The sequence below is a fragment of the Homo sapiens genome, chromosome 6, assembly GCF_000001405.40.
Source record: "Homo sapiens chromosome 6, GRCh38.p14 Primary Assembly".
NCBI lineage: Eukaryota > Metazoa > Chordata > Mammalia > Primates > Hominidae > Homo > Homo sapiens.
Genome location: NC_000006.12, coordinates 46171112 through 46185570, shown reverse-complemented (window position 1 = coordinate 46185570; position 14459 = coordinate 46171112). Strand labels below are relative to the sequence as shown.

The window sequence follows — 14459 nt, the reverse complement described above, 5'->3', positions numbered from 1 at the left end:
GAAGATACCAAAGTTTAAAACCTAACACGGTAATTTAACTCTGGATCTCTCCATCCTCCTGTCCTCCACATTCCCTCATTCACTCATCCATTCATTTAGTAAACTTCACTGGGAAGCTGTGGGGCATGCACAGTTCATCAGGCTCAGTCTCAGTTCTTTGGCATATTAACCAACAATTACAGAACAAGTGCAAGGATGGAAGAGTGCAGAGCACTCTGGGAGTGTGGAGGAGTGGCACATAATCAGGCAGAGCTGAGGGAGGAAGGGGCTTCCTGGAGGAAGGGACTCCTGAGTTTGGTCCTTAAAACTTTGAAGGAAATAGTCAGGCAAAGCATCACAAGGAAGTATCCAGACTAAATTTCTCTCCTATGTTACTTCATCTATAGCTGCGAATATGATTGCTTTTCTGGAAGCACCATGCTTGCTCAGGAATGAGGGGAAATGTCATAGAAGGAATTAAGGCTATATTTCCTGATTTTCTTTTCACTGGACTACATGGCTTAACAACAGAGAATAATGTATCTTGCCCTATTGTATTTTTAGTCTTTTGCTGTAAGTAGTAAGTCCAAGTAAAATATGTAGCAATGGGACTATAGGATTCCTAAATTCATCCCCAGGATATTGCTAAATTGAGAACTAGTCATTTCAAGCAACAAGAAAACACTGTAAATAGACAGATAAAATGCAAGCTAATAAATTTCTTTAAAATTTTTCTTTGTGCTATTAACATCATATGATGTATTGTATATGATTGGAGACAGGCTATAGTTAAAAGTGTGGACTTTACAAAAAAGAAATTCCTAGGTTCAAACCACAGCTCTGACAGCTCTTAGCTATGTAAACTAGGCAAGTTATAATGGCTGAATAGTAGCCATCATATAAAAATACCAAATGCTCTTAATCATTTCTTTTTTTGAGACACTTAGGTTGTTTCTTAATGGGGAGTATTAGTAATAAGACAATAATCAATATTGTGATACTAAAATCTTTGTTCCCCTCTCTGACAGAATAAATTTTTTTAAATGGAATTTCTAGGTTAGAATTTATATCTATTACTAGTTTAATATCTCTAGGGCAGTTTCTTCATACATAAAATGAGATGGATGATGGTACCCACTTCGCTGGATCATTGTAAGAAGTAGATAAATTAATAGGAGGAAAACTGCTTAAGCAAGTGTTTGAAACAGCTTTTCTGTCCATTTTAAATCAATGAGTAGTAGCTTCCTCCAGGGGGATTTTGCCAAGTTCCACAGCAAGTCATGTTTTTCAGGTCCTGGAATACTGCCAGTGTGGAGGAATACGAATGGAATGCAGTCAGAGGATCACATCCAGGTCATTTTCGGGATTCCACATGGCTCCTTGGTGAATTTATACTGTAGTTATACTTTTCTTTATAACAGATATTTGCGAAACCTAAGAGCTAAAGCAGTAGGGAAAATACAACAGCAAATCCACTTACCCCACATCATGTCCCATCAAACACTCACAAGCACTCATCTTTGCCGGTTTCTTTACTTAGTCCTTATCAGATAGTACCCATGGGGTTTCTTCTATCTTATAGAGCCAGTGACTGTACTGAATAACTCACCTCTTTTCATGTGTGAGCATTACTTATGCCCCAATTTCATTTTTATCTTCCTCTAAGAATAGATTCTTTATCTATCTTTCTAACTCTGATGTTATAAGCACTGAAATAATAAATCTAATTTCTCTGGAAAATTATGAACAAATGAATAGGAGACATGAGAATCCTGAAATAAAGTTGGTCCTGCTTATTTTGGGGGATATTTCCTCATAGTTGTATTGGGGAAGATAATTCATCATTTGAGTGCAAACGGTGCTCCCAATAGGGTCATATAGCCATTATCTAAAATGCCACAGGATTTATCTAGCATCACTTGTAAAAACAGAAATCTATATGTCCAGTTCTAGGGTACAAAACACATCACACTGGATGTTCTATCCAATGATGGTAAGATCCCATAGGGGAAATTAAATGCCATGAAATGGCCTTAATTATGGGAGTTAAGAAAATTGTTTTTCACAAACTACACAGCAGAATAAAAAACATGACATGAGGGGGAGAGAATAGCATCTAAAAGGCATAGGATGAGGTCAGAGTTCCGAATGCACTTTATGGGTATGGTGGTTAATTTTATGTGTCAACTTGACTGGGCTAAGGGATGCCCAGGTAGCTGCTGAAACATTCTTTCTGGGTGTGTCTGTGAGAGTATCTCCAGAAGAGATTAGCATTTTGAATTGTTAGAGTAAGAAAAGAAGATCTGCCCTCACCAATGAGGGCAGGCATCTCCAATCCGATGAGGGCTCAAATAGAACATAAGACAGAGAAATGCCAATTTTCCTCTTTTCAGTCTTTATGAACTGGGACATTCATCTCTTTCTGCCCTTGGACATTGAAGTTCCTGGTTCTCATGCTTTTGTGCCTTTGGATTCCAGGACTTACACCAGTCCCCCATCACACTGCCCACCCCGGTTCAATTACAACAGAATTGCCTTGTGACCAAGTCACTGGGGGTGGAGGAGTATAAAGTCAGTGTTTGTGTTTATGCCATCCTTGCCATATGTGTCTCTTACACAGAGAATTGAGGTGATTATGGAAATATGCCCCCGAAATAACAAGAAAGATCACAGGAAGCTACACAGGCAAGAGTAGAAAATTCAGGAATACTATAAATACCAGGATTCTTCTATACATGTACAGATGGTCCTTGAGTTACTTTTCTTCGATTTTATGATGTTACAGATGTGAAACACATTCAGTATAAACCATACTTCAAGTACCCATACAAACACTCTGTTTTTCACTTTCAGTACAGTATTCAACAAATTGCATGAGATATTCATTATCTTATTACAAAACAGTATTTGAGAGATGATTTTGCCCAACTAATCACTTATATCATAGGCTAATATAAATGTTCTGAGCACATTTAAAGTAGAGTAGGCTAGATGTATTAAATCCATTTTCCTCTTATGATATTTTCAACTTATAACGGGTTTATCAGTATGTAACCCCACTTTAAGTCAAAAAGCATCAGTATAGATTTATATCCTGCTTTTCTCTTCAAATATTTTATCATAGGAATTCCCACATATTAAACAATCTTTGAATATGTGGTTTATAATGGCTGAATAGTAGCCATCATATAAAAATACCAAATAGTATTAGTATTAAGACTATGATAAATATTGTCATACCAAAATCTTTTTGTGCATCTCTGACAGGATAAATTTTTCAAAAATGGAATCGCTAGGTTAGAATGTATTTTATTTAAATTATTTAATTCTAACAACAAACACTATTTCAAAAACTAGATACTGGAAAAAACACAACTGACTCTAGATAAGTCTAAAATTTATCTGGCAGAAGCAGACGTGTTAGACAGAAATAGATTAGCCAAAAAAGTTTACAATGCCATGGGGTAGTAGTTAATATGATTTGCAGAGGAAAAGAAGAGTGTAGGCCATTCTGGTGAGTCAATTAATTGTAAATAGATTTAAAAAGCTTCTGCTGCTTTCAGGTCTATAACTCTATCAAATCATTTAGGCTTTCTAAACCTCAATTTGCTCATTTTGAAAACTGGAGTCATTTCCCATGTTCATGCACCAGAATACTTAATATTGTAAGCTTGAATGTTCTCCCTAAATTGGTATGTAGATCTGCTGTCATCCCAATTACATGCCAGACCAGCATTTTTATAGAAAAATAATAGATAGAAAAAGGATCATAGAAAAGCTGATTTTAACATTTATATGAAAAGGCAAAGGACCTAAAATAGTCAAAACAATCTTGAGAAAGAGCAATGTTGGAGAACTCACACTACCTCACCTCAAGACTTATTACAAAGCTTTGGTAATCAAGACAATGTAGTATTGATAAGAAGACAGACAAACAGGTCAATGAGCTAGAATTGAGAGGCCAGAAATAGATCCATGCTTATAAAGCAAATTGTTTATGATAAAGGAACCAAAGCAATTTAAAAGCAAATAAAATACCTTTTAAAAATTGTACTGGAACAATTGGCTATTAAAAAATTTTTTCTTTAACTTAGACTCCTATTTGCACTTACACTCTATTTCACACCACACACAAGAACTAATTTTAAATGGCGGAAAGATCTGTGGATAGGAGTTTGAGAATCTTGAAAGATAGTCTATAGCAATAAGCATCTGCCCAAGATAGTCTATAGGAATAAGCATCTGCCTTCAGGCATTAGACCCTCACTTATCCTTAACTGGATCAGGATAACTTAGCTTAGGCTAGGACCTGGCCTTCAGCCCTTCCCCACTACTTATTAAAACATTTAAAGAGAAATCTAAATTAAAAATCCAAAATAATAATGCAATTTAAAACTACCTCAAAAAATCCAAAAATCTTTAAGATATACCATTTGAAACAAAAGTGTTAAAAGAGATAGAACAAGAATTTTATGTAAACATGATAAATATACTTAAAGAGATGTAACAAGCTATTAGTAATATGAAGAAGAATAAAAAATCATTAAAAATGAAAATATATGAGGTATAATAGCTGAAAAACTACACCAAAGGTGGGATAAAGAAAGGATAGAAACAGCTAAAGAATAAATTTGTGAATTAGAAAATCAGACAAAGAGGCAATCTCTCGGCAATCAGAAGAATAAAGAGATAGAAGATATACAAGTAAGCATATTCCTCTCTGTTCCCATTATGTAGTATCAACCCTCTCCCCTCAAGAAAAGCAGGTTACTTACCCCAACATTACTATAACTCCCTTCTGATCCACTGGCATGAGGAGTCCAAGATGGCCAGGTGGTAGACCCAGCTTCAAATTCAGTAGAATCCTCACTTTGCTGGTGGAGACATAGCCCTTACTGGGAACGATGTTCTCTAACCTAACAGAGCCTAAGGTTAGAAGACAGGAAGAACAAATTTCACAAATAGGTCACTGGGGATGATCATGTAGGGATCACTTCTATTTCCTTGGTTACCAGACCTGTTTTCTAACCATTAAGGATAGAGCATCATGTATCAGTCCTTATTTCAATGCATATACCCCAAAATTGAGGATCATGCTCTAACCTTCAGAATGTGTTCTCGGAGAGGGCCACTTAGCTGAGCCTTTAAGCCCATTGCATCATTCAGCTAGGCCAGCTGCTTCTGGGTGATGGGATATATGGTGGAACCAGTGAATCCTGTAATCATTGTTGTATGTCCTTTGCAGCAAAATTGGTCCCCTATTTGAGGAAATGTTGTGAGATCCCATATTGATAGATCAGGCATGCTGAAGTGTTGAATCATACTTGGTGTAGATGTAACCTCTGGTAAGGACAAATTGCTGCTGTTTTCCTCAATTGAGGGGTTAGCATCAGTCTCTGAGGCTGACATTCAGCACTGGCTAGATAAGCCCTTTGTGAACTGAATCCCATTCTGTTAGGTGTTTGCATACTTCTATTCCTGCCACCGTTGAATGCCAAATTGCACTGGTACTGCAATAACCAGGAAGAAATGTTGGCTGACATCCACAGGTTTACTCATCCTGTCCACCTGATGGTTGAGATCCCCTTCTGCAAAAGAGGCTTGCTGGGCATCACCACAAGACAGACAGATCTGCATGCTTGGTGCCCACCAACTATAGGGCCCACATATCTCTTTCCCCTGCCTCCTTGTCCTCACTCTTCCCATTCTGGTCCTTCCAGGCCCTGAACAAACTAGCCAAATCATTCGCCACTACCTATTGCTACCTAAGGTCACTTTTCCTTCCATACAAAGTGGACAATCAAGTGTGCTGCTCGAAGCTCTGCCCAAAGCTCTATATAGAGATTTTATACAAGTGATAAAGAAGATTATGGGAGGTAGCCTAAAACCCCTCCCAAGACAGTCCTGTGACCACCACTGTTCCTCTCTAAACTAATACTATTTCTTCAAAGCATTCATTAGTAGTGGAATCTCCTAAAAGAAAAAAGCCCATAGCAGCTTAGAGGGAAATGAAAATAGGGTGAACTGGGAAGGCAGAATGTTATTGAGCATTCAGACATTGGAGGGATAACTCTTCCCCAAACAAAAATGAGACCTTCAAAAAGCATCAATTTAGTGTTTGATTTAATACAATTTTCTTCCATTTGTAATGATTTCATGTGCATTTGTGTCATCTCTTTAAGCAGTGTTTCCATCCCTTTGGAGTCAGGAAGTATATCTTACTCCTCCCTGTATCCACCTTTCTCAGTTCCCATCACAGGGCTAGGATCACAGCAGCTACTCACCTTAGTATTAAATAGTTTGGAATTGACTGATCCTCACTTAGGCAGTCCAGGGCTCTCTCTCTCAATTCTGTCATGATCATGCTGCCTTGACTATTGATGCCCATGCTTCCTCCTATAAACCACCCTTCAAGGTTTTCAAATCCCTACTCATGAGTCTGTCTACCTTTTATTTCAATACTGAGCAGCCATCCTCAACCAAGGTCATTTTAATACCAAGGTCCATGTCCATCACAGGGGTGCCCATCTCTGGATGGCAACTCCAGTCTTGTTTGCTTGTCTCTCTCACACCATTTCTGTTTACTGACTGTTGAAGGAAGAGGCTGCGAGAGCTCCCTATCCCCACATGGCCTGATAATAGAAATGAGTTATTCCACTGGCTGTCAAAATACTAAATCTTCCCTTCATGGATCCAAAACTGGGCTTAGACACTCCTCTACTGTGCTCTCCACTGTTCAGATTCTACCATTGAGGACCTCCTGGAGAATCTGGAATCCCCAACTCTGACATGAAGTCCACAGACTACTTGTCAGTAACCCCCAGGGCATGGTTTCTATGGACCTAAGTTTGTGTCAGTCCGAAGATCAACTTTGTCCCCAGAATGTCTCTCTCGTGTTCCCCTCTGGGTCTTACTGAGATTAATGAGCAGTCCAGTTCTGCTATTTACTAGTTGAGTGATCTTCAGTGAGTTAATCTCTCTGGGATTTTCTTTCCTGAGCTGGCATAGGAAAAGACTCATTTGTATTTCACAGGGTTATGATAAGAACTAAGTGACATAAGGAGTATGTGTTGCTTTGCACAGTGTCTGCTATTTGGTTGCCACTAATTAATAAGCATTGTTATTATAATTCTAGTAATATTGTTATGTACTCCTTTCATACTATAATACCTTCACCACCCATACAGACCATTTTTCTGGCTTTAAAATTGTTTCTCTGCCACCCATCTCTTTTCTACTCTTCCTACTCCTACATACAGTTGTTTAGTGGAGTTGATTTGTTATCATTTTTTTCAATGAAATTATACTACACACTCTGGCAAGTTTTGAAATGCCCCTCCAACATTTTCCCTTGTCTTGCACACCATCCCCTTCACTATTCACTTTGTGATTAACAAAATATTACAAAAAAAGTATAGTATATGACAATGATGTCACCTCTCAAAATGACCAGAAAGTATACATTCATTCACACTAACATGTCTATTTTTTCTGACTCACAGGGCTGTGTTTTAATGACAGATTCATATCCCAAAATTGGGGTAACACCAAAAACACAACCTAATAAGCTATGCCACACAGTGCATTAGGAACAGGCTAATAGATGTTGCCAAGAAGAAACAAGAAGAGAAATGCTCACTGCCTCTCAATATGCAGTAAACAAAAAGCCAAAGTGCTTTACATTTTTCAGTAGAAAGGTCATAAGAATGGGTTAGCCTTGGTATGGTATGACAACTGGTAGTTCCTGCCAAAGGAGATAGTCAAAGAAGCAACGTTAATTTTAATATCAATTACAGATTGATATTAAATAAATGTCAAGGTGCTAAACTACTGTGCCACCTCGCACCACTTGTGATTCAGGAATTATGTTCGTGGCTCTGGTCATGACATGCCCCTCCTCAAGAACCTTCAACTGCCCCCCACTGCCCACAGGACTGACCCCAAATTCCTAAACCAGTTTTTCTAGGCCCTTCACAAGCACACCTGGGCCCTCTGACCAGGTGCATGTTCTTACAGTCTTCTCTGTTTCACGTGCTTCGTTGAAATCCCACCATCTTCCAAGGCTCTGCTTCAATACCAGACTCTCCATTCCTACCTCTGTGGTGGAATACCCATGTCTTCTTCAGTCAGAGCTAATTTCTCTGTCCCATGCACTTCTATATCACTTTTGTTTGTTCCTCTGTTGTAGAACTTACTCTATTTTTCCCTGATTTCAAATGTTTAGATATGCAGCTTTGGTTAAGCCACCAATTCTCACTGAGCATAGTGTGCGGCCATGAGAAATGAACTCAGTAATGCTGTTGACCATCTTCAAAATGGATTTCAAAAACCAGCAGCACAATATGAGTGTAAAATAGAATCATGACTCAATGATTACCCTGTGAATAAATGAACATTTCAGTGATTCCACAGATGATCATTCTCAGTTACATCACTTGGTTGAAACAGGCCAATGAGGCCTTAAAATGCCAGTTAACCCTGAATTGTATAATTCAAATCGATAAATTTATATTAAATGAATCACATTTCATTTTATGTTAAGCAAATCACGAATAAACCTGTTTTGTTTTTTTAAAAAATAACAGGTTAAAATCCCAGCTACTCGGGAGGCTGAGGCAGGAGAATCGCTTGAACCTGGGAGGCAGAGGTTGCAGTGAGCTGAGATCTCGCTACTGCAGTCCAGCCTGGGCAACAGAGGGAGACTCCATCTCAAAAATAAAATAAAATAAAATAACGGGTTAAATCAGCCTGTTATTTTAAAACAGCCCCATCACCATGACTAGAACAGCTAACTCTGGCCAAAGAACCCCAACATGTAGTATGTCCTAGCAAGAATAGATGAGTAGATCAGCATAAATCCATTCACACTGAATGGATTTTCCTACAAAATAGGGTTCTCATTAGAAAGCAGAGAAGTATATAGGTCAGGAGATTGCCCAAGCAAGGTGTGGGAGGATGGAGTCCTTTGTGGAATCAGACAACAGGTGTGGAGGAGTAAGGATGAAAGTGACTAGAAGAATAGCAAAGCTCTCAAGGATTTTATACATTACATGCATTTTCTAGATGAAAGGCTATTCAAAATTTTACAAAGGTCAAATCAGAGCACCTTCATAAGCCAGGTTCCTCTGTTGCCTATGACTTCGGACTTCCCTACAGTGATCTGCTGCTTAATGATGGGCAAAGAACAGGACTAGCTTTGAGCAAATTATGAGGGATGCCAGCTTAGAGTCTGCTCCCCTTCCTTTTTCTGTTTTCACTTTCCTCTAGAGCTGCCCCCTGTATTTACTAACCTTTGAAAGACAGAACCCACCTGCATTCTTCTAAGGGCTTTTCTCCCCAACCAATTATGCAAATTGGAGCGAATCAGACAACCTTAGTCACACACGTGTATATAAATAGCTAATAGAGGTGGTGCATATGACATCTCTCCTGAGAGAAAAGCCTTAAGGCTAAGAGATTAATTTCCAATTATGAAATTGCAACCATCCAGGAATTGGGCAGGGAGAACTCTCCCATGACATCCCCCGCCCCTTCCCTGCCAAGAACACCTTAAAGGCATAAAGCACTTGCTGCCTGCTTGGCCTGTTCATAAAGATTCACACTTACCAAAGAATTCCTTGGTGCAACCTCAAGCTACAAAATTGTTGCAAAGAATATTTACATTTACATTTTAAGTGCAAATACCTAGAGTGGAAAAATGTATTTTTGATCTGGATAGAGGACAATATTTTTAGGTCCTCCCCCACTGCTAGTAAATTTACAGAATTACAATACCCATAAGGAGCCAATAAGTTTTTAAATAGTGATGTTAAACTAAGTATGTTCAGGCATCTAAGGGGTGTTATGTGCTTTACAAAGAACTGAGAATGTGGTTTTAACAAAATGTTTTCACCCCATATACCACAAACACATGTGCAGTTTCGTATTTGGCTCCTGAGAATATGTCTTACAAAATAGGCCTCAAACCAACACCAAAAGATGACTATCTCTCCTGCTATATGACTGCATCCTGCACTGAGTTAGTTATTCAACAAATGACATTCAGTTATGGCCTAGAAAATATTTGTAGTAGAGACGGGGTTTTACCATGTTGGCCAGGCTGGTCTCGAACTCCTGACTTTGTGATTCGCAAAATATAAAAATTTAGCCTGGTGTGGTGGCGCGTGTCCGTAATCCCAGCTACTCGGGAGGTTGAGGCAGGAGAATTGCTTGAATCTGGGAGGCAGAGGTTGCAGTGAGCCAAGATCACACCACGGCACTCCAGCCTGGGCGACAGAGCAAGACTCTATCCCAAAAAAAAAAAAAAAGAAAAGAAAAAGAAAAAGAAAGAAAGAAAGAAAAGAAAAAGAAAATAATTGTTTAGCCTTGTTTTGGTTTTACTTCATAGTTTCCTGACTTCATTCATGAGGGAAAAGGAATGACACCCAGCAGAGCAGGCCCCGTGGAGCTCCTGCACTTGCAAGCACTCACACCCTGCAGGAAGAACTGGTATACACCCGTACACACAGGAAAGGCCACTGAGAGTCAAACACCACCAGCACCAATTTGTGAACTTTGGTGAGGTGTGAGGTATTATCGCAGGGTAGGGTTTATTTATTGTTGCTGCTGTTTACTGAGGTATAATTTCCACACAGTAAAATTAAACATTTTTAGGCACATAGTTCTCTGAATATTGACAAACTTAGTGATGTGACTACAAAAGCAATCAAAATTCTATCACATAAAAAAATTCTTTGTGCCCCTTTCTAGCCAATCCCCTCCCCTCACCCCTAGTCCTTGGCAAATGCTGATTTGGTTTCTATTTCCATTGTTGCCCTTTCTAGAATATCATATAAACAGAATCACACAGTGTATGGCCATTTGTGTCTGGCTTCGTTCACCTAGAAAAACGCTTTTGAGATTCATCCATGTTGTTGCATGCATGAGTTCTGTATTCCTTCTTACTGCCAAACAGTACTGCATTTACGGACACACTACAATTTGTTTATTCACTAGTTGAGGGACATTTGGATGGTTTCTAGCTTTACATGATTATGAATAAAGCTGCTGTAAAAAGTTGTTGACCGGTTTTTCAGTGGACGTCTGTCTTCATTTCTCTTAGATAAATACTCAGGAGTGAGATTCCTGGGTTGTATGTCACGTGTATATTTAACTTTATAAGAAACTTCAAAACTGACTTCCATAGTGGAAGTCCATTCCCACCAGCAGTGTATGATAGTCCAGCAATATATTATAGCTCTGAATCCTTGTCAGTATCAGATGTTGTCAGTTACCTTGATTTGAGCCATTTTATTAGTAATCCATCAACTTTTGATCTAGGCTGGGCCATAAAATTAAACTTTCTGCTAGCTATATATACTGGGTTGAATAAGTGTCCTTCCGAAATACACATTCACCCGGAACCTCAGAATGTGACCTTATTTGGAAGTAGGATCTTTGCATATGTAATTAAATTTAGATGAAGCCATACTGGGCTGAAGAGGGCCTTAATCCCAATGACTGGTGTTCTTATAAGAAGGCCACGTGACACAGGGACACACAGAGTAGAGCATCCTGTGACAGGAGAGGCAGAGATTGGAGCTAGGCTGCAGCAAGCCAAGGAATACCAGAATCCCCAGCAGCTGTTAGGGCCAAGCAAGGATTCTTCTCAGAGTCTCGGAGAGAGCATGGCCCTGAATACATCTTGATTTCAGACTTCTGACCTCCAGAACTATGTGAGAATACATTTCTGTTTGTCGTAAGTCACCCAGTTTGTGATAATTTGTTAAGGCAGTCCTAGAACTAAAACACTATGAATACAATTTACAGAATACAACAATACAAATAGGTTTATATTTGACTTATATAAAGCTTTCTGAGGATAAAAGCATAATAATTGCTTCTACAAAATTCATTCTAATTAGTTCAAGCATATCACTAGAAGCCTAATTTATTAATATGCATAAAAATTCTTGGGCTAAGTTTTTGACTATTCTATAATTCAACATTTCACTCATTGGACTGAACTTCTGCTAATGAGTCAAGATTAGTGAAGACCACTGTTTATCATGAATTAAGAGCAGTGCAGAAGCAGAATCCCAGTGGTTCCTATCTATGGCCATTGAATATGTGAGACCCACATTTTGCAGAATGTTCTACAAAGGATTAAAAGATGAACTTTCTTTTAGTTTAGTCATTTGTGGTATAATGTACTGGAATGCACCTTTAAAATTTTTTAATTGTAAAATTATGTGTTTATTTTTCCTATCATGAAGTCTAGTTCTGAAAAACAAGACTTCTGTGGTAGAGCCAGTTCTGGTTGTTTCTTAAAGAACAGATCCCTTTTCAGTTTTAGCACAAAGCTCTTCCAGCCCCTGACGAAGAAAATTGTCCCTCTCTCAACCTGTATTAGACTTCCTTGGGGAGGCAGAGGGATCTCCCTCCCCACCTGACCCCAAAACCTTTGAAAGAAAGAAGTTGGTTATTCTGTTACACTATTATTCAATTAGAATTCCACTAATTTAATAACAGAGAATAAAAGAATAGTTACAGTCAATAGCAGGTTGTGGTTTCTGCTGCTAAAACTTTCTGAAAACCTATTGCAAATAGACAGATACTGAGGCAACAATAAGACAGGAGGGCAGGTGCAGATGTGGGAGCAGGAATCTCATGTTTTACATTCATTCCTCTATACTATGTAAACCAGACTTTCTCCCCATGAACAACATAAGGTAATAGCAAGCCTATCAGGTGAACATTAGATATCATTATATGGACTTCTGGGAGGAATCTGGCAGTCTTATGAGCACTTTTCTGTGTTGTGCACTGTGGTTACCAGCTGTACCATGCCTATTTCACAGGAATAGCTGGTGAATATAATCATAACTTCCATAAAATTTGCAGAGCAAAGCAGGTTGTCATCCAAACAGAGTCCAACAATGTTCAGTGATCCGAACAAAAGTCAGGCCCATTTTCACCACTCCTGCTCTCTGATAAGCGTACATTGTCCTTTGAGTGTTTTGGGAGAGCACAGAGTTGACCTATTCTGGGGGACAAGGACTTACAAGATTGGACCACTCTGTTCCAAGTTTGGGCAATTTCAAAGGACAGGGCTTTGGGGAATTGGAACAACTTGTTCAACTTCATTGTGTTTGGGTCTCACTAAACATAGAAACCAGCCTCCCTCTTAATCCCCATCCCACGTGTTGAAAACCATAAACTCAAGTTACCACGAATAAAAGGCCATGGAAGAGTGCCCAGATGCCCTTCGGGATGGGATGACCCAGTTAGGAGGTAACAATGTTTGGGGTTGAGATTGTCCCTCTATTAGAAGCAGACAGAGAAAAAGCTATGACCAAAATGTTTGCATGGCTTAATTAAATATCAACAGATATCTCTATTCACTTTAAAGCTCCAGCACACCAGACAAGGGATCCGAGCTCCGGGCAGGAGCCAAAACCACCATTGCAGATATGCTCCCAGTTTTACCAGCTAATTAGATGTTAAACTTACATTGTAACAATCAACCTGATATTATTGCCTACTGCAGATAGAACTAGAATTCTAATTAGGTCAGAATTCTAGCTGGGATTGTGTAGATGGACAAATTCTTTCAGGGTAGTTTGATATCACTGCTATAATTTATGGTAAAGACAGTTGGGATCATACTGGCAAACTAAGTACCTGCCTACACTCCCTCAGGCCTAAAAATGCCATTGATTATCCCAAAAAAACTGAGAAAATAATCCACTACAGTACGGAAAAAGACAAAATAGGGGCACTAACACACAAGAAGCACTGAAGGCTTTCTGAAAGAGTAATCAGGCCTGATGTTTGTAGTTTTAATGTTTACTTTGCAAACAAAGGTAGAAACAGAGTCTGGAGCTCGGATGCCACCACCAGAGAGGGTGGCTGTTCAGCCTCTCTCCTGTGCAAATTAACCTAATTCTGAACCTGTCTTGGTTTAATTCGCACAATTTCAGGTGCCATGCTAGGTACACCACAAATATACCTCAGGGACCTCAATTGCAAAAACCTGGACTGCAAACGTTGGGGCTGCAGAGTTGACTAGGTTAATAAATTCTTTCTGAGGTAAAGCAGATAACACCCACTAATAAAAAGAATGAAACTTCATCGTCCCATTGGCATCCTCGGGTGTGCAGGTGTTCCTCAGAGCAAAGCCCATGGTGTGCCCCATCGCCAATTCGTGACAAGGCAGGGGGCGGGGGGCGGGGGAAGGAAAAAAGCCTGGGATAAGAAATCAGAGAATACAAGTCGCTTTTAAACAAAAAACAGTGACTGTTAGAGTACACCCACCATTGGGGTAACACGCAATAATCTCTCAGCATCACTGACTCCAGCACAGCTGGTCCCCTGGAAAAGGCACGTTGCCGGAAGGTTTTGTGTGTGACCAAGCAATTGGCCATCCCACGCCTTCGCCCTACCAGATGGGTCCCTGCCCCCGGGAGTCCCCTCCCCCTCCACCCTCCAAACCCAGGCAG

At 39.4% G+C, this 14459-nt stretch overlaps 1 annotated feature.

Annotated features, from left to right (window-relative positions):
* Positions 14360-14419: a silencer, noted in NCBI's record as "silent region_17269". NCBI's record gives its function as "represses an Ori minimal core promoter by ATAC-STARR-seq in GM12878 lymphoblastoid cells {active_cell/tissue: GM12878}" and the evidence as "EXISTENCE:reporter gene assay evidence [ECO:0000049][PMID:35858748]".